This window comes from Homo sapiens, chromosome 21 (assembly GCF_000001405.40).
Source record: "Homo sapiens chromosome 21, GRCh38.p14 Primary Assembly".
NCBI classification, from domain to species: domain Eukaryota; kingdom Metazoa; phylum Chordata; class Mammalia; order Primates; family Hominidae; genus Homo; species Homo sapiens.
The window spans coordinates 23,361,104-23,384,835 of record NC_000021.9 but is presented as its reverse complement, the minus strand read 5'-3'; the positions used below and the strand labels follow the sequence as shown (position 1 = coordinate 23,384,835).

Here is a 23,732-nt window from a genome sequence, read left to right as displayed (position 1 = left end):
AGGGGCTCTTGGGCCTTTGGCCACAGACTGAAGGCTGCACTGACCATTTTCCTACTTTTGAGGTTTTGGGACTTGGACTGAGCCGCTACTGGCTTCCTTGCTCTTCAACTTGCAGACAGCCTGTAGTGGGACTTCACCTTGTGATCATGTGAGTCAATTCTCCTTAATAAAATCCCTTTCACATATACATATTTCCTATTCTGTCCCTCTAGAGAACCCTGACTAATACAAACACACACACACATTTATGGAACAACAACAAAAAAAGATACTGGAATTTTGGTAAGAATTTTGGCATATTAATTTGGGAACTACTGCCATTTTAACAAATTTTTTTCTGATACATAAACACGGATTACTTTTCATATATTTAAGTCTGCTTTAATATTTTCAGTAATATTTTGTGGTTCTCAGTTTACAAGTCTTACACCCACAAGACTTGTAAAATTTACTCCCAAGTGTTTTATTTTTTTTCAACTGTAAAACGTCCAAAATACCCACAGTGATCTGCAGAGTCAATGCAATTCCTTTCAAAATTCTAATGACATTTTTCACAGAAATGAAATTGTATTCTTAATTTTATTTTGGATTGTTAATTGCTAGAATATAGTAAAGCAATTTATTTTTGTATATAGATCATGTGGCTACAGCCTTATTGAACTCATTTGTCATTTCTAATAAATACTGTGCAAATATTGTTGGTTTTTGTCCAATATTGTTTTTAAATACAGAGATGATCATATGATTTTTCTCCTTTATTCTATTAACATAAGGTATTACACTCATTGATTTTTAAATGTTAAATTAACATTGCATTCTTAGTATAATTTGTGGTCACAGGGCACGATTCTTTTCATATATTGCCGAGTTTGATTTGCTAGTTTTTTCTTGATAATTTGGGAGTGTGTATCCATAAATGTGTTGTGTAATTTTCATTTCTTGTGAAGCCTGTCTGGTTTAGGCAACAGAGTAATTTTGGCCTCATAAAATGAGTTACAAAGTAGTCAATTCTCTTCTATATTCAGTTAAGTTTGTGGAGAATTGATGTTTATTTATGTTTAAAAGTTCGATGGAATTCATCTTTGAAGCTGGCTAGGCATGGGATTCCATTGGTTGAAAATTGATTACTAATTCAGTATCCTTACTTATTGCATATTTATTTGAATTTTCTATTCCTTCTTAAATGACTTTTGATAGCTTATGCTTTCTTAGGAATTTGTCTACTTTAATGGGATATAGTTTTTTATAGTATTTTCTTATAATTTTCTTATTGCTTATTTAAATGTTTTGCATACTTTCTCCATCATGCTCTTTATCTGATCAGTCCAGATAAAGTCTTGTCATCCTGGTTGACTTTTTCAGGAAAAAAACTTTTGATAATTGCTAATTTCTCCTATCCTTTATTAATAATCTACTTCCACTGTAAGCTTTATTATTTTCTTCTTCTGCCTACTTTGGGTTACATTTTTTGTGCTTTTTCTAGTTTATTAAGGTGGTAATTCAGGTTATTGATTTGAGATCTTTTCTTTTTTCATTTAATATGGTTATTTACAGCTATATATTTTTCCATTGGTACTCCTATAGCTGCATGCCTTCACTTTTGGTATATTGTGATTTTGTATTTATTCATCTGATAATCTCCCTTGTGATTTTTTTCTTTTTTAAATTGGTTATTTAGGAGAGCACCACACTATTTGTTAAATTTTCCAAATGTACTTTTGTTATTAATTGTTAATTTTATTCTATTACGTGTCGATAATATATTTTGTATGATTTAAGCCATTCAAATATTTTGAGGTTTATTTTATATCTGAACATATAGTCTCTCCAAGAAAATATTTTATGGACAATGGAAAAAATGTGTATTCTGCTGTTGTTGCACAGTACATTCCATAGATATTGGTTAGAATTGGTTGATTTTTTGTGTGTCATTCGAGCCTCCAATTTGTGTTGATTTTTTGTCTCCTTGTTCTATGTATTGTCAATAGTAGAATATTTAAGTCTAAATATTATGGTTGAGATTGTATATTTCTCTCATTAATTCTGTAGTTTTTAAATGTAATTTAGAACATTGTTGTTAGGTGCATATATATTTATAATTGTTACATTCTTCTAATAGTTTTACACTTTTATCAGTAAAAAATGTCCAATTTTTTCTCTAAGAACAATTTTTGTCTGAAAGTCTTTTTCTCATTGTTATAACTAATCAATCACTCTTCTGATTACTGGTTATATGACATGTTTTTTTTCCATTAGAAAGTACATAAGTACTTTCTACTTATTGTGTCTCTAAATCTTGCAGACAATATGTACATTCACTTTGTTTACATGTAACGTAATTACCAATAATGTAGAATTTATGCCTGACATTTTGCTATTAGATTCTTACATGACTGAGGTATTTTATATTCCTGTATTTCTCTATCATTATCTTCTTTGGATTAAATAGTTATTTTCTAAGGTATCTCTTAAATTTTATTAGGATGTCGTTTACTATATTTGTTTTAGTAATTTTCTTAGATGTGATCCTGGGGATTAACATCTTAATTTAAAGCAATTTAGCTTGGATAAATATCAACTTAATTTTAATAGTGTACTAAACTGTATTCCAGTATAACATCATTATCACCCTCTCCTTTGTGATTAATTATCAAGAAAATTTCATTTGTATACATTACAACCCCATAAAAATGATATCTTTATCAGTTCTTACTGTTTTTTGTACAAATTTGAGTTGCTCTCTAGTACCTTTTATTTCATACTTAATGACTTCTTTTAGTATCCCCTGTAGGTCAGGTGTGCTAATGATAGATCCTCTGTTTTTTATTATCTATTCACTTGTGAAGGGTTATTTGTTTCATATAGAACTCTTGATTGGCAGTCTTTTTTTTATCACTTTGAATATAATGTTCTGGCCTTCTTGATTTCTTTTGCAAGGTCTGCTATTAATATTGTCAAGGGACAATTGTATATGATAAGTCACTACCCTCTTAATACTTTGAAGATTCTCTGTTTTTTGGCTTTCATTTGTTTAATAAGTGGAGAATAGGTGTTATATATCTTTAAGTTTATACTACTTAAAATTTCTTAAGCTTCATGTACTTATAAATTAACATTTTCATCAAGATTAGAAAGTTTTCAATCAATATTTCTTCAAATGTTCATTCTTCCTCTTTCGCTGTGTAGTTGGCTGAATAACATACACCCAAAATTAGGTCATCCTCCCTGAAACTTTTAAATGTTATCTTGTAAGGAAAAGAGAGCACTTGTGGATACAATTAAGGACCTTGATATGGAATGTTATCCTAGATTATAGAGGTGGGTATTAAATGCAAGGACGAGTATCCTTATAAGAGAGAGGCAGAGGGAGAGTTGATAGAACCAGAAGAGGAGGAAGAAATAGAATAATGGAGGCAGAGATTAAAGTGATGTAGTTAGAACTCAAAGAATGCCAGAAACCACGAGAAGCAGCAAGAGGGAGGAATTGATTATCTTCTGGAGCCTCCACAGGGAGTGTTTTCCTGCTGACATATTGATTTCACTTTAGTGAAATTATTTCAGACCTTTGATCTTTAAAAGTGGGAGAGAACAAATTTCTGTTGTTTTTAAGCCACCAAGTCTGTATAAATAATAGCCATGAAAAACTACATATTCTGTATTTCTTCTCCTTCTGGAACTCCCTTTATGCTTATGTTGGCATGCTTAATGGTGTCTCATAGGTCTATAAATCTCTGGTTATTTTTATTCATTCATTTTTTCTATTTTTCAGAATGAATAATCTCAATTGACCTATCTTTAAGCTCACTGATTCTTTCTTTTGCCATGTGTAGTATTTTGTTATTCCACTATAGTGAATTTTTAAATTTTAGTTATTGTATGTTTCCATGCCAGAATTTCAGTTTTGTGTGCATTTACAATTTTTATGTCTAAGTATTTTCTTTTTAGTGAGATATTGTTTTTATATTTTAATTTTTTGGGTATGGTTTTTCTTTATTCTGTTAATATAGTTATGATAGCTGACTTAAAAACATTTTCTAGTAATTCCAATGTCTGGGTTTCATTGAAAACAATTTTTGTTTTTTTTCTTTTTGATTTTATTCATTATTTTTGTCCAAGCCCAAGGGAACAGTTTCTATTAAATATTTTTCTTTATTTCCTGCATGTGGGCATTACTTTCATATTTTTTTTCTTTTTTACGTGTCTTATAGCTTTTGTTGAAAGCTGAACATCTATAAAATATTTGTGCTTATATGGGAAGCAGATTACCATTTTCCCCCCTAGGATTTGTTGCTACGTGTTGTTTCTGCTGCTGTTTGTTTGGTGATTTTTCCTGGACCATAAACTCTGTATGCTTTGTTGTGTGTGGCCACTGAAGTCTTTTCTTGATTAACTTAGTGGTTAGGTAATGAGTGAGCAGAGGTTTTCTCAAATGTCTTGAACCAGTAAATCCACCAGATTTTGCCGGGGTACTCTGTGTGTGTGTGTTAAGGCATACCTTCAACTCTATGTCAGTGTTTGTCTTTGTTTTAGCCCTCAGTTCTTACTTACGCAGACATAAATGTTAGTTAGCCAGAAGTCAGATATTTAGCACTCCTTTGGTCTTCTCTTGGATTGGCACAGCCCTACAAATGGGTGTGAACTTCTAGATTCCCTGAAATATGTCAGAACTTTTTAAAGCCCTCTATGGACATCTTATTGTCCACACTGTGCTTTTAGTCATTTGATTAACCTTTAGCTTGTATTGCATGTGTTGGTGCCTCAGGAAGCTTCAAATTTAAACAATTGCTACTTAATTATTTTTGACAAAAGCCTGCTTTTAGTCTGTTCTCAATCTGCTATGAGGAAATACCCAAGACTTGGTAATTTATAAAGAAAAGAGATTTGATTGACTCAAAGTTCTTCATGGCTGGGGAAGCCTCAGGAAACCTAAAATCAGAGAATGAGTGCCAAGTGAAGGGGAAAGCCACTTATAAAACCATCAGATCTCATGGAAATTCACTCACTATCATGATAAGAACAGCATGGGGGAAAATACCCCAATTATTCAATTATCTTCACCTGATCCCACCTTGACCATGGGGATTATTACAATTCAATGTGAGATTTGGGTTCTGGAGGACTGTGACCCTCTTCTCACAGAGCCCAACCATGCTATTCTGCACCTGGCCCTTCCCAAATCTCATGTCCTCACATTTCAAAACACAATCATGTGCTTCTAACAGTTCCCCAAAGTATTAATCATTGCAGCATTAACCCAAAAGTCCGAGTTCAAAGTCTCATCTGAGACAAGGCAAGTCCCTTCTGCCTATAAGCCTGTAAAATCAAAAGCAAGTTAGTTACTTGCTAGATACAATGGTGGTACAGACATTGAGTAAATACACCCATTTCAAATGGGAGAAATTGGACAAAACAAAAGGGCTACAGACTCCATGCAAGTCCAAAATCCAGTAGGGCAGCCAAATCTTAAAGCTTCAAAATGGTCTCCGTTGGCTCTATATCTCACATCCAGGCTGCACCGATGCAAGAGATAGGCTCCCATGGCCTTGGAGAGCTCTGTCTCTGTGGCTTTACAGTATATAGCACCACTCCAGGCTGATTTCACAGGCTGTCATTGAGTATCTGTGGCTTTTCTAGGCACACAGTGCAAGGGGTCAGTTTATCTACCATTCTGGGTCTGGAGGACTGTGACCCTCCTCTCACAACTCCACTAGGCAGTGTCCCAATGAAGACTTTATAGTGGGACTCCAACCCCACACTTCCCTTCCACATTGCCCTAGCAGAGGTTATCTATGAGAGCCCTATCCTGCAGTAAACTTCTGCCTGGACATCCAGGTGTTTCCATACATCCTCTGAAATCTAGGAGGAGATTCCTAAGCCTCAATTCTTGACTTCTGTGCACCCCCAGGATCAATACCACATGGACGCTGACAAGGCTTGGGGCTTGCACCCTCGGAAGCAATGGGCTGAGCTGTACCTTGGCCCCTTTTAGCCATGCTGAAGTGGCTGGGACACAGGGCACCAAGTCCTGTGGCTGCACACAGCAGGGGGCTCTGGACCTTGCCCAGGAAACCATTTTTCCCTCCTGGGCCTCTTGGCCTGTGATGGGAGGCACTACCACGGAGGTCTCTGACATGCCCTGGGACATTTTCCCCATTGTTTTGGCAATGGGCATTTTGCTCCTCATTACTTATGAAATTTCTGTAGTTAGCTTGAATTTCTCCCCAGAAAATGAGATTTTCTTTTCTACCACATTGTCAAGGTACAAATTTTCCAAACTTTTATGCTCTGTCACCTCTTGAATGCTTTGCTGCTTCGAAATTTCTTCTCCCAGATACCCTAAATCATCTCTCTCTCAAGTTCAGAGTTCCATAGATCTCAAGGGCAGGGGCAAAAAGCCATGAGTCACTTTGCTTAAGCATAGCAAAAGTGACTTTTACTCTAGTTCCCAACAAGTTCCTCATCTCCATGTAAGACCACCTCAGCCTAGACTTCATTGTCCATATCATTATCAGCATTTTAGTGAAAGCCACTCAATAAGTCTCTAGGAAGTACCAAACTTTTCTATATCTTCCTGTCTTTGGAGCCCTCCAAGTCTCTATGAAGTTCCAAATCTTCCCACTTTTTTTTATCTTCTTCTGAGCCGTCCAACCTGTTCCAACCTCTGCCCATTTTGTAGTTGCAAAGTTGCTTCCTGATTTTCAGATATCCTTATAGCAGTGCCCCACTCCCTTGGTACAATTTACTGTATTAATCTGTGCTCACACTGCTATAAAGAATTGCCCAAGACTGGGTAATTTATAAAGAAATGAGGTTTAATTGACTCACAGTTCTGTATGGCTGGGAAGGTCTCAGGAAACTTATAATCACGGCAGAAGGTGCCTCTTGACAGGGCAGCAGGAGAGAGAATGAGTGCTGAATGACGGGGCTAGCCCCTTATAAAACCATCAGATCTCATGGGAACTCATTCACTATCATGAGATCAGCATGGGGGAAACTGCCCCAATGATTCAATTATCTCAACCTGGTCCTGCCCTAGTCACATGGGGATTATTACAATTCAAGATGAAATTTGGGTGGGGACACAGAGCCAAACCATATCAGCCTGGGTTTATGGCTATTTGTATTGATAGGACTGTGAGTCTAGTCAGATAAAGAGAATTTTCTGGACATGGGGCTTTTAGGAGCTCCAAACTTGTTGGACCCCTCTAAGTGGTACTACAGTGGTGGTTTTTACAAGTACATTGGTTGTGAGGGAATTATTATTATTATTATTTTTGATGTGGGGTCTCACTCTGTGGCCAGGCTGGATTGCAGAGGCATGATCTCGGCTCACTGCAACCTCTGCATCCCAGGTTCAATTGATTCTCCTGTTGCAGCCCAAGTAGCTGAGATTACAGGTGTGCGCCAGCACACCCAGCTAATTTTTGTATTTTTAATAGAGACAGGGTTTCACCATGTTAGCCAAGATTGTCTCCATCTCCTCACCTTGTGATTCTCCCGCCTCTGACTCCCAAAGTGCTGGGATTACAGGTGTGAGCCTCCGTGCCAGTCTGAGGTTATTGACTTTTGAGGGTACCGCTATGAGGAGTGGGATGGAAATGAGGCAATGTAAGCTACCAAAAAGCTCACTGTTCTCATTGACATTCACTATTTTTCTTGAATAAGTGCTCCTGAAATTTTGCAAATTTTTAGTTAATTTTAGAGTCTTGAAAACAGTTTGTTTTAAATTTGTTTTCAATGTTTTGCTAATGTTCTCATTACATTAATTTTATGGAGGAGCCGATCTTGGAAACACTTAGTCTGCTGTTTCCAAAGTATCCTCTTCTCTTGCTTTTATTCATTTGTTTAATAAACATTCACTGAGTAACTAATATTTTAAGATTTTTTTTTTAGACAAGGTCTTAGTCTGTCACCTGTGCTGGAGTGCAGTGGCATGATTATGGCTCGGCTCACCTCAGTCTTGAGCTCCCAGGCTTGGGTGATCCTCCCACCTCAGCTTCTCAAGTAGCTGGGACTACAGGTGCACGCCAACATGCCTGGCTAATTTCTTTTGTACTTTTGCAGAGATGGGGTTTTATTACATTGCCCAGGCTGGTCTGAGACTCCTGAGCTCAAACGATCCACCTGCCTTGACCTCCCATTTTTAGAATTTTTATGTATGTGGAATATAATGTGAACAAAAAGACTTACTCCTTATGTTCATAGAAATTAAAAGCTAGGGAAGATATAGACATTAAACATTTATTTGAATATAATATTATAAAGGAAGAGAGAACTATGAGGTTCCTGGAAGTTTGGGGGAAAGAAATAAAATGTCTCAAAATGTCTCTGAATAATTGACATTTATATTACAATATACAATCTGTACAGATTATATCTGGAATGAAAATATTAAGATACGAATGGAAAAAGTACACGTAGATGTTCTGTTAGTAATCAGCTGTGCAAAGACACTGAGGTTAATGGGAGTAACTTAAAATGGCAGGTTAAAGAGAAGTGTAGAAAGGCAGAGGGAATGCCTGATGAAGGGTAGGCAGATGAAGTTCATTTTTATTGTTTTACGAAAAGTAAAAACTAGTTTTATATTAGACAGCAACATAATCAGATATTTATTTAAAAATATGTTCTGGCGGCAAAGTTGATTACTGACATATATATGTGGATCTCATAAAGTTTTGCAGTGGTCAAATTGAGAGATGATGGAAGCATTAACTAAAGTCATTAAAAACTCAAAACTTTATGATTAAAAGTTATATTAGTGTATTTTCCTAAATATAGTCATATTAACTATGTCTTTATGATTTGAACATATTGTTGTAAAATAAATAAGTAAAAATATGTGTAAGAATTAGTAATATGATTAGATCAGTATAGTTAATGTTAATAATGCAAGGATACCAGTCATTTCACTTTTAATACACACCTGTCGTGGCAGCATCTTATTTTCACATCAATTTTAAACTAAACAAGCCAATTATAGGGTATAATAAGAAGGCTTCAACACTAAAAATTTATAGGCCTACCTTTCCACAGAGTAATTAAACATATTCTCTCAGTTTAAAATTAAAGAACAAAGAAATATACATAATAATAATTGAGAGAATAAATATTCAAGATTCAGCAATTATTTATGAATGATGTTTACATTTTGTTTTCATTTTAAAAGCCTGTCCTAGATACAGTGTTTAATCCTAAATGAATGACTAATATTATTGTCTGAACAATTACATTTTTAATAAGATTTGTTCTGATAAATCACATGGAGTCCAAAGGAATTCACCCATCCACTTAAATGGTCGTTATTAAAAGAAGAGAGAATTTATGTCAGGGTGATTTTTAGATTTACTAGTTCCCAGAGCAGAACAAATTATTTTCTGTAGGCTAAAAATGAAAACTATTTATCTTCGTCCTTGTATCCAAACTATATTTCACAGCCCATGAGACTCAAATGGGAGGCACTTTTCAATAAAATTCATGCTTGATTTTTTTTTACAGTTAAAAAACAAAAATGTTCATAGTGAGTTGGGGGGGGATACTGTCAGAAAGAGGGGCTACAAAATAATCCATCATATAATAAAGGCATGATATTAATGGTTTTGAATCTTATAAAAGGCAGATATTATGTTGAGGGAGAGTTAAAAAAGCTGGCACTGCATTTTGAAATGACAGTAGAATGAAGTCTATCTACAGAATGGTTACTCATAATACAGTAAAAAGATTTTGGAGGAATAGTAATAATCAGGCATTTTATGCAAATTTTTGACCCTCTCTCATTTCCTGAATACAAAAATGTATGTTTATAATCAAATAAACATATAAAGCACCCATTTCATATGCATATTTTGTGGATTCAATTGTGCTGACTCCCAAATTCATAAGTTGAAGCCCTAACCTAAAGTGACTATATTTAGATATATGGCCTTTAACAAGGTAACTAAACTTAAATGAGGTCCTAAGGGTGAGGCCCTGATTCAATATTACTAGTGTTTTTATAGGAAGAGAAAGAGACACCAGAGATGCGCACACAAACAAAAGACCCTCTGAGGACACATCTGGCAGATGCCTTCTGCAATTCAAGAAGAGAGACCTCAGGAGAAAATAAACCTGCTGATACCTTAACTTTGACTTCCAGCCTCAAGAACTGTAAAAAAATAAATTTCTGTTATTTACATCACCTAGTCTCAGGTATTTTGTTATGGCAGTCCTAGCAGACAACTACACATATTAATAGAAAAGTTGATTATGTGAAGGAGAAAAAAAAATTAGGAAAAGTTACTGTGCTTGTTTGCTCTAAATGTCATAATGAAATACCCCAGGTTGTGTGGCTTAAACAACAGAAATTGATTTTCTCATTGTTCTGCAGGCTGAAAGTCTAAGATCAAGATGGTGACAAATTTGGTTTCGCCTGAGACCTCTCTCCTTGGCTTGCAGAGGGCAGACTTCACTGTGTAATCAGATAATCTGTGTGTGCACTTCTGATGTTTCGCTGTCTGTGTCCTAATCTCCTCCTCTTGTATGGAAACCAGACTTATTATATTAGCGCCCACCCTAATGACCCTATTATAACTTAATTACCTCTTTAAAGGCCGTATCTTCAAATACAGTCACATTCTAATATACTAGAGGTGAGGATTTCAACATACAAATGCTGGGGACACAGTTTAGCCATTCCAGTTACCTTTACATAACTCATTTTCAAAACAGGGTTAAAAAGGTGAAAACAAAAGAGTATTTTAATTTTGAACATATATTCTACTAGGAAGATACATTTTAGTGACAAATTGCTACATGGAGAGCATATATATTTATGCACTTGCTTATATTGCCTTTTTAAAGATTTTTAACAAAAAGTTTGCTACTAATAAAATGGAAAAATAGATGTATAAAATTTTATTATTTAATGTCAATATCTTGTAGTTTGAGACATTAGCTGAGAAATAATGTTTCTTTACTGGATGGTAAACTAACCACATCATTTTTGTTTTGTTTGTTTTTGCTTTTATTATGAAGTGATGGCAAAATATCTATAAAATAGATAAATTATATGTGAACCTCTTTAACCCCTTCAGAAAGTATCAATTTATTGAAATTGTGCTTTATGTCACTTCAATGCCCCGATGATTATTTCAAATCAAATTTCAAATATTATATTGTGGCATCCATGAATACTTCTTCAAAATATGGAATTAGAAAAACTTTTTTTTTCCTTTACAGAAACACATAATCACAGAACCATGATTCTATTGACCACATTTAGGGTAAACTTTTCATTTGAATAAATGAGATATTAGAAGTAATTACATAATTTATTATAACATATGATGTGTCAACATTTTCTTATTAAGGATTTTGAGAAATTGTTAAATTTATATTGTATATGTGAAATGAAAATTAGAAAGAATATTTAAAATCATACTCAAATTTTAGATATGTTATTTAAGTCTACAATAAGATTTATCTAAACAGAATTCTGTGAGGTAACACTGAGGATTATAAAAGGTAAGATGATAAAATAAATCAGTTATTGATTTCTACATTAGTGCACAATGACAGCGATTGAGAAATCCCATTAGCAATTTCATTCATGGTTTTCCAGCCCTGTATATCAGTATTCAATATGACCATATTTACTTGATTGAGTCAGTTCTACTTTAGATAGTAATGACCATTGATAATTACTGAATGTGGTATTGCAGGGAACTGATATTACTCCCTCCTTCTGGAATAACTTACCCCAACCTCTTTTTATAGGCTGCTGACTAACTTAATGAACTGAACGGATTAAAATGGTGCAAGAGAAAAGGGCATTTTTACACAAAAGGAAGCATTTTCTGTGTTCCAGTTCAGCTGTTCCAATGACATTTGGTGGTGTTATCAGTGTGAATTATGTAAGTCAGAGGTAAAATGTATGGTAAAGTTTCTGTGTTGTTATGAGATTTGACTATTGAATCATTCTGAATATTTATTGTATTGTTTAATGAAGTTTGTCCTACAATTATATTTGGGATTTTTACATGGAAATTGTCATACAGAAAAGGAAAATTTGAGGCCTAGGATTATAAGTAATTCTTATAAAGTTGATGACACATTGTAATAATATTTTTAATCACTTCAGCACATTAAAGGGACAAAGAAAAAAGAAACACAAAAGAAGTGCTAGTTATTAATATATTGTATTAACTATATATAGTAAAAAATATTATTTTATTTTATATGAGCTGATAATCCAATCAGGCCTATGCCATTTTGTATTGTGTGTGAAACAATGTATAAATGCAGAAGGGTGCCTGCAAAGGAACAGGCAATGTTATCACAAGGTGACATTTATAACCTGACAGAAGATGCTGAGGTTTTTATTTATTTATTTATTTATTTTGGTAATAACAGACAAGCAAGTTTCTTTATCCAGACTGACGCATCAACCATGATCTAGCATTTGCAAGATGTGTAATTACTTTGACTTTCAAGAAAACATCTTCTGATCTAAGGAACTTCCCAAGATATCAAAGGTAAAGGTATATTTAAAGATTTTTTATTTATATTTGAACATAACATGCCTTGAAAGAAGTCTTTTGGCATCCATAATATATTAGCATATATTAGGGTTCTCCAAAGAAATATAACTAGTAGGATATAAATAAATATATATATACACAAACACACACATGCATTTATTCGTGATAAAGCATTGGCTCATATGATTATGGAGGCTGAGAATTCCCAGGATCTGCAGTTGACAAGCTAGAGAAACAATGTATAGTTCTAGCCTGTTCTGAAGACCTGAGAGTCAGGAGAGCTGATGGTATAAGTTCCATTCCAAAAGCTGGCAAGCGATTTTAAAATGAGAAGTATCTCCAAGGCTAGCCATGTCTGTTACCATCCTGAGTGATGCCTCCAAAGGCTGAGTTATATCAAGACCTGTGGTAATATCAGCGGAGTTGGGAGGCTGAGGCAGGAGAATGGCGTGAATCCAGGAGGCGGAGCTTGCAGTTAGCTAAGACCGCGCCACAGCACTCCAGCCTGGGCAACAGAGGGAGACTCCGTCTCAAAAAAAAAAAAAAAAAAAAAAAAAAGTAATTTCGATCACTTTCTTGATCTTGAGGTTTACTTCATGATGTAGTTCAGCTTGGAAAACTGACCATTCTCAGATGGGATTTTGTACGTTTCTTTGGTAAGCCTAATACATTTACCAGGAGAATGATTGTGCAGCTAGGAGAGTGATTTGTTGCCCCTCTGGATACATCAAAATAATGGACAATAGACAAGGTCATTTAGGCAACAGGTGACAAGGTGATCAACATCCATTGGAAGGAGACATTCTGTCATATGGAACTGATATATGGTCACTGCAGGTCAGAGTCAGCCTTTCCAAGGTGTCTCACTTTCTTGGGGAAGCCAACTGCCCTCAGTTAGGACTCTGCAACACTCAGCCTAGGTAACAAGAAGGAGATAAAAAGACGTTTACAATATTCCAACTCCCCATTTCACGCTTCCTTACAGAGGCATCAATACTTTTCAGATTGTTCTTTCTAATTTTTTTTCCATTATGACATACCCATATTTTCTTCATTAATATTTTTATTGTCATTGCTGTATTTTACTTCCCTTTTCATTTCTTCCTTCATGATCTGTGCTTTCATTTCCCTCATGCTTTATTTCTCTTATTCTTTAATTTCTCTTACTGCTCTCCACATTTCTTTCACTGTCTTCAATCAACTTAGTCTTAATTTGAAACTATTATGCATGCTATTGTATTTTGACTTTTTTGCTATATTAACTCTATTTGAGAATTCGAGTTATATTTCAACGAGTTATATTCATCATATTTCATTCTTTATTTTTTATTATTTATTTATTTATTTATTTATTTTTGAGGCAGAGTCTCGCTCTGTCGCCCAGGCTGGAGGGCACTGGTGCGATCTCAGTTCACCGCAAGCTCCGCCTCCCGGGTTCACGCCATTCTCCTGCCTCAGCCTCCCAAGTAGCTGGGACTACAGGTGCCCGCCACCACGCCCGGCTATTTTTTTTGTATTTTTAATAGAGACGGGGTTTCATCATGTTAGCCAGGATGGTCTCGATCTCCTAACCTTGTGATCCGCCCGCCTCAGCCTCCCAAGGTGCTGGGATTACAGGCGTGAACCACCGTGCCTGGCCCATATTTATTCTTTTTAATGCTCCTTTCTTCATTCACCTCATTCTTCATTCACTACACCCTAATTATTATTTATTTACATTTAAATAATTTTTATCTCAGTCACATTTCAGTAGTCCTTTCTACTCTTCTGTTATACTGACTTTTGATTAGGATAATAAGATATCCAACATAAGCTGATATAGAGAAAGGCAGCATTTGCTTTTCAAATAAACACCAAAAATTATTATTATGTTATTGTATCTATAATTCATTCATCTCACTAGAGTACAATGAGCTGTATACTTGTGTAGGATACTTGTGTTTTTTCTTTCTTTTGTTATCTCTTTTTTCCCTTTTGTTTTCCTTAATTTCTTCCGTCCTTCTTTTCTTCCTTTTTACTTCCTCCCCTTTTTCCTGTTATGAGAAATTATCTCTAATATTATCGGTTCCACAGAGAAAACTACAGATAATTTTTTTTTTTTTTTTTTTTTTTTTTGAGACGGAGTCTCGCTCTGTCGCCCAGGCTGGAGTGCAGTGGCGCAATCTCGGCTCACTGCAAGCTCCGCCTCCCGGGTTCACGCCATTCTCCTGCCTCAGCCTCCCGAGTAGCTGGGACTACAGGCGCCCGCCACTACGCCCGGCTAATTTTTTGTATTTTTAGTAGAGACGGGGTTTCACCGTTTTAGCCGGGATGGTCTCGATCTCCTGACCTCGTGATCCGCCCGCCTCGGCCTCCCAAAGTGCTGGGATTACAGGCGTGAGCCACCGCGCCCGGCCCAGATAATTTTTTTAAAGAACAAAATGGTCTATTTAAAGCATGGGTTTACATACTGACATATAACATCACATCCAAACTGGAATTTTTATTCTCTATACATGTAGTGGTTACTAAATGTATTTTTGCCTGTTGACATATTTGAGTAATTTAAATGAATATTTCATGATATCAATTATATTTTGGCAGTGTTCGAAAAAATTGCAATATTTATAAGATATTAAATTTGTACAAATTTTAAAAGATCAATCCTGAAAAGTAAATCATGCTGCATATGTAAATTCATATTTTTATAAGCTTAATTGAAGATATCTTAAGAATGTGCAAATATATATTGAATAGAGTAGATGCAGCTAGATAGCCTTGATTAAAGAAAAAATACATGTTTGAACATCTGAAATTTCCAGCCTAACTTTAATATAATAGCTTTAATCAAACTCTCCTGAAATAGTTCAAATTCTTTTGTTTTCTTATATTTATTAAACTAAAAATGTCTGAAATTCTACTTATAGCAATAATATTTATTTTCATTAGTACTAAGTTTATTAAGAAGAAGACTCTCAATAGCTTATTTTTTGATATTCTAATTATTTCCTGTCACTGTATTTTATTCTGTAATCTGTTTAATTTTTTTTTCCCCAGACTGAGTCTACCTTTGTCACCCAGGCTGGAGTGCAGTGGCGTGATCTTGGCCCACTACCACTTCCGCCTCCTGGGTTCAAGTGATTCTTCTGCCTCAGCCTCCCAAGTAGCTGGGACTACAGGCACCGGCCACCACGCCTGGCTAATTTTTGTATTTTTAGTAGAGACAGGGTTTCATCATATTGGCCGGGCTGGTCTTGAACTCCTGACCTTGTGATCTGCTGTCCTTGGCCTCCCGAACTGCTGGGATTACAGGCGTAAGCCACTGCGCCCAGCCTGTTTTAATTTTAATTTGCTAAAGATTTATTAAGCTTTTGTTACATACTAGATATATTTCTGGATAATAGTGACTGTTTGAATACCTCCTGTCATGGAACTGCAGTTAAGGCTAGAATACAAATATTAATCAACTAATTATATGTATAATGGACATATCAAAAAGAAGAACTAGAAAGTATAGAAAAGCTAGGGGATCAAGTGATACAAGATACAATATTTAGGAAGTGACATATAAATGGAGATTCAAATTCATGAGTTAAAATGAACCCTGTTTTATTTCTGACATTCTTCTATTTTTCTAACAACCAGTTCAGTCTCACAGTGTGTAGCCTGCTTCGTGATTTTTGCCCCCTTTTTATGCCTTTTGTGTTTAATGCTATTTTACTAACACAATATCAGAACACATTTTTCTTCTTTTATTTAAATACTATTTCTTTGTCAATCCTCAGAAAATTTTATAGTAGTGGATTGTTTAACCCAATCCAAGGGTATTTATTTACTAGGTATATTGGATAGACCTTAGAGTTGTCCCCATATTCAAGGTCTGTATAAGTCCTTGCCCTTCAATGTGGAAGGAGTCTGTGACTTGTTTCTAATAATAGAATACTGTGAAGGAGATTGGTGTCGCTCCTGTGCTTAGGTTACAGTATCTATGCACAAAGCTACCTCTTGTACCAGAGACACTCTTCCTCTTTACCTTTGGGGAAGTAAGCTCACCATGCTGTAAGAGAGTCTATTTAGAGGACTGCAAAGAGGACCTCTTGTTTTTGATCGTGAAATGGAAATGGAAGTTTAAAAAACTATGCATGTTTTAAGCCATTAGCTTTGTGACAATCTGTTATGAAACACTAGAAGACTAATACAACACGAAAGTGTTCTTTATTTACTTTTGTTTCCATGAATTAAAGCCCAAACATTTTTTCTTTTTTAGATTTTGTAGAATTTCTTCTTTTCATTTTTCTATTGTGTAAATTTAGGGTATGTGCATCTTGTATTTTTTTTCTCTGTAATGCTCTGTATTTTTTCCCAGTAACTATTCTTAATTTTTTGATAATTACATATTACAAACGCTTTCAGTGAGATGGTAATAATCTTAATTACATATTATACTTGAATTTCCTCATTCATTTTAAATAATTTCGGTGCTTACAGAACTTTCATTCTCATCACTGACACTTTCATCCTCAAACTACATTGTTAATTTTTTTTATTATTTTGACACATCCCTGAATTACAATTTTAAGTAATTTTCCAGGAGTTTGCATGATTAGAAAAAGGAAAAAATTAGGACAAAAGGAAAGAATAAACATGGAGACACACACACACACACACACACACACACACACACACAAAGGAGAAAAACCAAAAGGAAATGGTAGTGATACAGACAGGATGCAGGGAAATACTGGGTAGAAAAGGGTGGTGCCCAGGAAAAACCCCACCATCAAGCTTGGAAACCCGTGGCCCTAAATGGGAACAGACATTCCTGTTTTCACGCTCAAATATTGCCTTTTCCAAGACAGTTCTGGCCCGCCACACCCTTATCCTGTGCCCATATAAACCCCAAGCTCCACAAACAGAGGAGTAGAGGAGCAGCAGAGTGGCAGAGCAGCACACCAGAGAAGGAGAGAAGAGGAGGAGTGTCTGAACGTAGGGAGGAGTCCGGCTGGGGACGGTTGGAGAGGAGCTCAGCTGTGGGATGACTGAACTCCAGGCAAGATCATCTTCCCACTCCATCTCCTCTCCAGCTCCCCATCCATCCCACTGAGAGCCACTTCCACCACTCAATAAAATCCTCGCATTCACCATCCTTCAAGTCCGAGTGACTTGATTCTTCCTGGATGCCAGACAAGGACCCCGGTACCAAGAGGGCAGGATGTTAAGGCTGTCACCCGGACTCTCCACTGAGCAGGTTTAATTCCTAGCCATCCTCGGACAGCAAAACTGCTAAAAGGGCATTAATTGTAATACACCCCTAGATGCTATAGTGGGGCCAGAGCCCAGAAGCTTGCTCCCTGTCTCCTGCACCTGCCCCTCTGCATGCTCCCCCTTCTGTAAGGGGTTTGAGTAAATGACAGACAAGCAAAGGAGCCACACCTTTGTCACAAGTCCTGCAAGGGGGTCAGGGAACTCTCTTATTTCATTAGGAACCAGAAACAATTACTGGGTGCTCAAAATATGGCAAATATGGCATTCATAGATATTTTAACCTTCATTTCTCTAATCTATTAATTTTACTTTAAATCTTCACTTAAATTTTCTAAATTACTTATAGCTAATTGGGAATTTTTTTCTCTAACATCTTAATTTGAATATAAAACTACTTTAATTTTTCTGTTTGATTATGAAGACACTTTAGTTTATAAACTGAGTGAAATTTGGCTTTTACCAATAGTTTTATCATAAACCATCATGGTTTTCATTACTTTTGAGAGTTATAAATTTCATCTTGAATTTCTTTTGATGCACATGTTATCTAGGTATGTGTCTTGTGACTTTAAAATAAAAAGGAACTGTGTTAACTTTTAATATTCATTTTATAATATTCAGTTTATAATGATATGATAGCCTTTGTTGCTATATTTATATATTTAAATAACTTAATTATTTAATTCCTTTAATCCTTTCTAATTTTTTTAAAATCTGGCAATGTGTATGTGTTATGTATATTGTAGAGGCCAAAGGAAGAAATTCGAAGAAATTTGCCTTTGGCTAAGGAATCATTACATACAGTGGTCTATTGTGGAGGTTTCTTCAAAAGAATGTGAACATGTTTTATTTTTGCTCCTTTACTCACTTTACAATTAGAAAGATTCAGATCTCTTGAGTGTAAGATTACTTTTTAAAAACTATACTGAACTTATAAAATTGCTTTATATTTTCAAAGCTACATCGTAGTTTCATCTCATAAATGATCTCATTTTTCAACATTAATTTTTGCAAGGCATGGCTCAATATAATCATAATGGCTTAGATCAGGTCATGAAGTCATCAAATTCCTATTGTCCCTTGTGCTTATGACACAAAAAGTATGAAGAAAACGAACAATATACATACAGATGCATACACTACACTATGGAAGGAATGTAATCAAGATTATCCCATTTTTTAGTGCTAAGCTAACTCATTATTTGTGGCTGACTCATTATAACAAAATAGACTTACTTTTCAAATTACTCTGTCTATGGAGTATTTTGAAGTGAAAGTAAATTATTTTGACATGTGATTTTCACAATAGCACCAATAATGGTTACATGTTGGTAACCATTTGGTTACCTATATATGTAATTTGGTTACTTATATTTTCATCATTAAAACTATGATTAGAGTCTGAGGGGTTGAACCAGAAGACAGCTGTATTTCCCATTACAATCACAGAAATGTGGAGTCCAACAAAAAAGACTTTTAAACAGTGAAGAAATAGAACATCTGTGTAGGTCTGGAGAAACAGAGGAGCAAAATCAATCAAATTATGGACACAGGCCAGTAGACTAGTTTCCCTTGAATAAAGGGGTTTGTCTGCAAGACACGTTCACAGATAGTTGTTCACAATTGTTCAAGGTACATTCCCAGATTAAATGTAAAATTTGGCAATCTGTATTCTATGACCAGAGAATGTGAAGGCTGAGCTGACACACTTGCTACCTTGCAATTATACTGTTTCCCTAGCTAAGCTACAATCTTCCATTTTTTATTTAAAAAATGAGATCAAGGGACTGCTATTGTACATTATCTTTTGTCCAGTATTTTTTTGTTTTGTTTTTTGAGACGGAGTCTCGCACTGTTGCCGAGGCTGGAGTGCAGTGGCGCGATCTCGGCTCACTGCCACCTCCGCCTCTCAGTTCAAGCTATTCTCCTGCCTCAGCCTCCTGAGTAGCTGGGATTACAGGTACCCGCTACCATACCCGGCTAATTTTTTGTATTTTTAGTAGAGATGGGGTTTCACTGTGTTGGCCAGGCTGGTCTTGAACTCCTGACCTCGCGCCTTGGCCTCCAAAAGTGCTGGGATTGCAGACGTGAGCCACTGCGCCCGGCCTGTCCAATATTAAAGAAGGAAGTTGCATAGACTTCAAATGCATAGACAACTAATAGCAAGACCTTATTTCTTATAATAGAAAAGTTACAAAATAATAGGTGATTAATATGGAAACATCACATATTTAACCTTTGTACATATTTCAACAAAAATAAACCATAGTTCATTCAAAGAAACTTAGTTTACTAAACAATGATTGAAAAACAGTTTGTCTTTTATTTGAATTAAATGTACATTTAATTATCTTATTCTTTGGAATTCAGAAATAGATACTGTTGATTCCAAGATAATGACCTCACAGGAAAAGTGCTACCACCCAGGATAAGATGACAGAATCAGCTGATTGATCCTGTCATCTTGTGATTGTGATTGTAACTAAGTTGTAAATCACTTTCTCTGTTTTCTACTTTCCTTAAGTGAAGAACTTGAATTGACCAATTAATGGCATGCCATTTTTCAAAGATTGAAGCAAAAACAGTTGAATATTCGAATCTAAGATATGATACAGAATTTTTCAGTAATGACAATATGGGAGAAAATATTGGACATAAATATACAAATTGTCTTTAACTAAGAATCTCTATTGGGACAAAATTCTTGTTTACCTTTTTAGATTCCCTCAGTTTCCATGTTTCTTATCTCTCTTTGCACCATTACCTTTTCTCAAGACTTCTCCACTTTCAGACTTAGATGAAATAGCATTAAAGATGATACAAGATGGCCACACGTATATGACTGGTGCGACTCAGCCCTGCTCCTCCTGTTTTTCCCTCCAGCTGGCTGGCTCAGGAATACTCTCACAGTGATGGCAGAAGAGCAAATCTGGAAGTTCAAACACTCAAATGTGTTGTTGGATTTCTGCATGCATCACATGGGCTAACAACTGGTCAAAGCAAATCACATGGCCAAACTAAAAATCAAAGGCCTGGAAGGTAGACCCTACTTTTCTATTAAGATGAACTGCCTAGTAACATAGGAAAAGGTGGTGAAACCATGAAAGATGAAAAATACAGGGCTGCAATGTTATCTACCTCATTTATTTTGATACTCTAGACCTAAGGGGAGTAGTGGATTAACACGGGTACTAGTCTCTGGGTGTTGTGCCATCTGTTGTTGGTTTCCTTAACGATGACAAACTTATAAGTATATTCTTTCAACTAAATTCATTTGAGTATAATGTTTTCAAGACAATGGATTGATATACAGTAGACATAGCTTATGTAAACAACCTGTGTATCAATCCTGTTGACTTAGGCTTTTACCAATAGTTGTTTTCTATCGAACCTTCATTAAAGCTCCACATGGTTAATAATCCAGGGTCTCTTTCATGTAGCTTCATCTCCGTTGTTTTAAGTTCTCTAATTTTAGGAAGTCCATGGTTTTATATTAAGCTGATATGGTTATGCTTAAAACCAGCATGGGACCTGGAGAATGACACACAAGATATCCAACCAATGTAGTTTTTTATGTAATTTCTCTTGTTTGAATAGATGTACCATTCATACTTCTACTACTGTAGAGACGGGTTCACAGGTAGGTAGTGACTAGGAGACATCTACTTTGAAAACTAATAAAAATATTTGGCTGTCTAAAAAATATGCACTACCCAAATCAGTGCAGTATAGGGTAAATAATTTTAAAAAGAATGTTAGGGAGCAAATTCTTGGTGGTTTCTTACATTTATGCATTATCTTACAAATGAGGACACATTTGTACCTTTTTCCAAACTGTGTTTTTAAAAGTGTTTGTATAAGAGCCTTAGAAAATATAGAGTATCTACTTTTGAAGAGCAAAAAATAAACATTCTAACTGAACAGTTAAAAATAATGGGCATACATAAACTCGGGATTTTTCTGCAGTAAGGAAGCTTACCGCTTATGCAGGTTTAACTATCCCTCTTCACATTACCCTGTGAAAACTGGGTCTCAGAAACTGGTGCAGAAATGCCAGTACTCTAGCTATGCTGATTGTTGATAATAAAAAACTCTTCTTTGTATCTGATTCAGGAGTCTTTTATCTTCTACTGTAATTCATACAATTTTGAAAAGATACCTACTTAGATTTCTCGTAGGGTAAAAACTTTCTAATCTTTCACAGTCCTTAAACACAGCTATACATTTTCTACTTGAATTCCTTAAATAACCACTTACTTTGAGCACAAACCATGATCAAGACAATATTATGCACATTGTAATTTATTAGAACTTGCTTTCCACGAATTTTAAAATGTCATGTAAAATATAGATATATTGAAAAGTTTTGTTAAACACACATATTCTATGCAAATGGAGAAATTGAAATTTTATGATGTTATAGCTTATGTTTAAAGTCACTCAGTATCTCAGCTTTTTCATCTGTAAAATGACATTAATAGTAATAACTATTTTGTAGGGTGTTAATTGGTATAAATTTTGAAAGTACATAGGGTTTGATAAATGCAGTGCTAAGTGAAGGTTTTCAGTGAGGATACATTTTATAACTGTTAAGTGTATGGACACAGGCAGGAGTCAAATTGCCTAGTAGTCCATCTTTAAAGCATATACTATGTTTCTTCTTAAAAATTATGATATTTATTTTATTTACATATTATATCTGTTTTTAACATCCTTGAAATTTTATGTTTTATATATAGTTATGCACATATTACATTTTGTTTACATAGCTATATAAAGTCAAGTAATGATAAGATTAAGACATCTTTATCCTGAACTATCTAACTGTTATTTACAGACAGACAAAGTGCTATATTGAAGGTTACAGAAGAATAAAGAAGTTCTGAATAGAACAGAAGCTTTCATAAGGCAGGGGTTATAACGACCAACAGAGACTCCACAAAACCATTTACTCACAAGAGAAAATATGGCACGGATTGGATTAGAAGTGGAAAGACTAATGCATTTTTGTCCATAAGGATTAGAAGAAAAATGGTTCTCTCAGCTCTGCAAGTGAGCACAACAAGCAATCCAAAAGCATTATTTGTGTGAAGCAGTTTGTAGAATTTGTTCCATTTGTCACTAGAACTAGTGTTTGAAGCTCAGCAAAAGTTGAGTTATGGTTAAGCCCCAGGGTCAGTGGCCACGTGTTCAGAGTAGTACCTTAGGTTTAAAGCTGATTCACAACCTGAAAAACACTCAGTGGTGTTCTCTCCCAAATTATCAATCATTACCTTGTGGTGTTTTAAAAAGAGGATAGAAGATTGCTTGACCAGAAAATAATGACAATAAAAAGGAAATTATATATAGTGTGTGTGTTTATGTATTACACATATAATACATAATGTGAATTTTCCCCCATGATAACTATTAAACATGTTTATTTAATAGTTAAATATCCATCTTTGAGGGCTTTTAAAATTTATATTTCTTTGTTAACTTTGAAGTTGAGACTGCATGCAAAGGCTGCTCCATTTCAGGTAAATAGTGCCTCAGTAGCTGTTTGATTTACCTTAAAAAGGAAAACAAAATGACACACCTTCCAACCCATAGACTTTCTGAGGTCTTTGAAATACAACAATAACTAGAAGAGGAGAATTTGCGTAGTATAGTGATATGGTTTGGCTGTGTCCCCACCCAAATCTCATCTTGAGTTATGGTTCCTATTATCCCCACGTGTTATGGGAGGGACCAGGTGAAAATAATTAAATAATCAGAGCAGTTTTCCCCATCCTGTTCTCATGATAGTGAGTTAGTTCTCATGAGACCTGATGGCTTTATAAGGGGCTTCCTGCTTCACTGGGTACTCATTCTTCTCTCTCCTGCCACCATGTGAAGAAGGACATGTTTGTTTCCCCATCCACCATAATTGTAAGTTTCCTGTGGCTTCCCTAACCATGTGGAAGTGTGAGTCAATTAAACTTCTACCCTTTA

The 23,732-nt window shown here is 35.3% G+C and overlaps 1 long non-coding RNA gene across 1 annotated transcript; it reads left to right on the top strand.

Moving 5' to 3' along the window:
- Nucleotides 1-23,732, top strand: D21S2088E. Its single transcript, NR_040254.1, has 5 exons — nucleotides 1-148; nucleotides 11,752-11,888; nucleotides 12,388-12,509; nucleotides 20,643-20,798; nucleotides 22,597-23,732. It is a non-coding gene; the product is annotated as a D21S2088E (long non-coding RNA).